The following is a 3,440-nucleotide window of genomic DNA, read 5'->3' as shown; positions in this document are numbered from 1 at the left end:
TCTTGATTCCTAAATTGATTGACTGTTCGGGGAACTAATGGTCACTTCTAAGTGGTTGACAGTTGTCTCTTCCCACCTCTTAGTCGCAAGTTTCAGATGATCAAAGAATGCCTAGGTGGCATTCAACAGTATATGCCTCCGTAAAGGTAGAAGGTTTAGGAGTCGTATGTGCAAGAGTGGAAGAAGTTCTCCCTGCACACACAGGAGGCCATCTGCTACAAAGCCTCAGAACCTGGCCTCTGCCCTGTCAGCCTGCATGCTGCGTGCATGGAAAAACAGGCCTGAGCCAGGGCTTACCCTGTCACCCAAAGTCCACTCCATGTAGTATGCCCGAAGCAAACATGACCTTGTTCTACAGTTAAAAACAAATGAAAGTCATCTGCCGGGGTCACTTGGTAATAAAGTCCTGCGACAGAAGGGGCTCTGCTTAAAGGGCAGCTCAGATCCAGGCATTAAAATAACCTAAATGGTGTCGTTTTCTGATCAAATTCCTTTCCCTGTCGGGTTTGTGATTTTTGAGCCTGAGAATGTCCCTCGCGGCTCAGGTTTCTCTGCTGTCACACTGATCTCAGGCCTGGAATGCAAGCACTGGCCATTGAGGTCTGATGTAACTATGTCACAATCCCAAAATGGAGAGACATTATCTCATAGATGGTGCAGCAGGCGGGCACCAGTGTGCGGCTGGCAGGCACGGCTGAGAATGCAGTCCTGGGCATATTCCACATCCACAGTTCTCAGTGGACACAGGGTCTGATGCCCGAGGCTCCAAGCCGTGCTCCAGTAAGTTAGGGTCTTGCACATCTTCATACTCAGGAGTAGGGACAGGAAGACACAGGCTGGGATGGAGATGGGCTCACTCCTGGGCCAGTCAGGTTGGCTTTCAGAAAGGTGATTTCTGGTCACAAGGCCCTTGAGCAGCTGGAGGACTTAGGCAGAGTGCGGAGAGCAGCCATTCACATGAGAAGACTCCACCCTGGAGGCAGCGCTAAGCAGCCATCCTTCCTTAACTGGGCCTCTGGGGCAGGTGGGGCCTAGTGGCCTGTGAGGTATACAGCCCTTTCAGCACTTAGAGAATGACGCCTCAAGGGGAAACCATTAACCCTTTCCTAGAATAATAGCATCAAAGTCCTGACCATGTTGATCATGGAGTCTCATTTGAATTCAGAGGAGCGCCTTCTTATCCAGCCTCGAGGAATCAGGCCACTTCCTTCCTCCTGGGTTAGCTTCCTCACACCTCTTATTTCCCATGGCTCTGCTGTGAGATGCTTTTGTTCCAACCAAGCCATTGCCAATTAGGCCATGCCCACTTCTGCCGACTCCCTCTGCTCACTCCTTCCTTGCCTGAACAGTCTGCCTCTCAGTTTGCCTGGTCCTTTCCTCCAGGTCCACATTAAACTCCCCTTGCTCGCCCAGGCATCTCTCAGTGCCCGAGTCCCCATCTCTGGAGCTCCTTCAGAACTAGTGTCTGCGCCACGCATTGGATGCTTGGCACATGCGTCCTTCCACCGTCAGTACCTTCTCTTGTGTAGATGAGTGCATGTCCCTTAGGAGTGTCCTCTAGCACTAGACTAGTGTTTTATCTCTGGGTACTCCCAGGGCCTAGCAGTGAGCCTTGCACACAACACTGACTCTTGAGAATGCTCTTAAACTCTAAAGCCATCTTAGAATCAAAACCTAAGACCACATCCAGGAATACAGCCTCGTTCCCCTGGTCTACCAGTGCCCTTACACACCAAGCACATGCCTGAATATGAGGCCTTCTCATTTGCTCTTTCCTCTACCCGGCATGGTTCACTCCCCTACTCCACTGTCTCTGCACAAATGCCACCTTCTCAGGCTTTCCTGACCACCCTGTCTAAAAAATAACATTCCTTATCCCATAATCCCTATCCTGCTGATTTTTCTTCATAGCACTTACTATTGATTTATATTCTATTATTATACTATATTACATTACACTATATTTGTTTTAATTGACAAAATTATATAGATTTATTGGGTACAGCATAACATTTTGATATATGTTTACATTGTGGAATGACTAAATCAAGCTATTTAAAATATGTCTTATCTCACATATGATTTTTTGTGGTGAGAACACTTAAAATATACTCTGAGCAATTTTCAAATATACAATATGTTGTTAACTGTAATCACCATGTTATACAATAGATCTTTGAACTTCTTCCTCCTAACTGAAATTTTGTGTCCTTTGACCAACATCTCCCCAATCCTCCAACCCTTCAGCCTGTTAGCCACTATTTTATTCAGTGTTTCTATGAATTCAGCTCTTTAGAGTTCACATGTAAGTGAGACCATGTGGTATTTGTCTTTCTGTGCCTGGCTTACATCACTTCAGGTTACACTATATATGTTTAAATCTTTCACTGTGTGTGGTTCCCATAAGAATGCAAGCCCCATGAGGGCCAGGACCTTGCTTTATTCACAGCTCACCCTACAGCTCTGCCTTTAGCAGTGTGAGGAATATCGTAGGTGCTCACTGTTTGTGGAATGAGTGGATAGGTGAATGAATGAGCAAATGAATATTTTTCTGTAAAGCAAGGACCACTCTGTGTGATAATGTGACATGCAGCCCACCATGGGATGATGTAAGGCTTCTTTTCACAGAACCGAAGAGCGTTTGAACTATAAAGGTCCTTGAAAGTAGGTCACCGTCCCAATTGTACAGAGTAGGAAACTGAGTCCCAGAGAGGGAAAACAGATGGAAATGAACACTTGGAAAGTTAATATCTTTGATTTTTAATACTTCTTCCTAGAGCGTAGTCCGATGTAACAGTTCATCTGGCGAGATTCTGAGTTACCAATTTTTTATGGGTTTTGCGTTAGAATAATTTTATAATAATCAAAAGTAAATGAGAACAAGGCCAATAGCATAAAATTTCACTCCTTCACACTCCTAAGTGTTTTTCGAGGCACTGCGGAAAAGGAAGCATCTATCGTGGTTGGTCCAGCATCCCTTCAGTAGCTTAGATCTGCAGAAATACTGTTGGAACATCGTTTCTTTATTCTTCCCATCCTTTGTGTGTTAGGCCAAACCCTGAGGACTGTCTGCCTTGGAATAGAGAGGAAATCCAAGCATATGTGCAAAGTTGAGCTGCACTTTCAGCCCCAGGTCTTCAATGGGCCTTCTCCACAGGCACCTGTGAAATGCCAGCAGGGTCGTTGCATGTAGAGGGATCCCACTCAGTGCACCCCTGGGAATGGCTCAGCCGCACTGTGGGTGTAAGCATTAATCACACAACAGCCATTCTACATATTCCTTTTTTATTCTCCAGAGAGTGCCAGGAAAAGTCCTGCCCAGTCAAAAGTCTTCTCTTGCAGCTGGGTGTTGAGGGTGATTGCCCCTCTCTCTCCTTGTAAGATTATGTTTGACAGCAGTGAAAACCAACAGTTTAACAGCAGTAATCTCTTGGCAGGAC

At 45.9% G+C, this 3,440-nt stretch overlaps 1 annotated feature.

Annotated features, from left to right (window-relative positions):
• Positions 245-744: an enhancer, noted in NCBI's record as "H3K4me1 hESC enhancer chr11:130735401-130735900 (GRCh37/hg19 assembly coordinates)". NCBI's record gives its function as "activates a minimal SCP1, AML or CMV promoter by ChIP-STARR-seq in naive H9 embryonic stem cells {active_cell/tissue: H9 hESC(naive)}" and the evidence as "EXISTENCE:reporter gene assay evidence [ECO:0000049][PMID:30033119]".

This window comes from Homo sapiens, chromosome 11, assembly GCF_000001405.40.
Source record: "Homo sapiens chromosome 11, GRCh38.p14 Primary Assembly".
Taxonomy (NCBI): domain Eukaryota; kingdom Metazoa; phylum Chordata; class Mammalia; order Primates; family Hominidae; genus Homo; species Homo sapiens.
The sequence above is the reverse complement of the archived record's forward strand: the minus strand, read 5'-3'. Positions and strand labels throughout refer to the sequence as shown.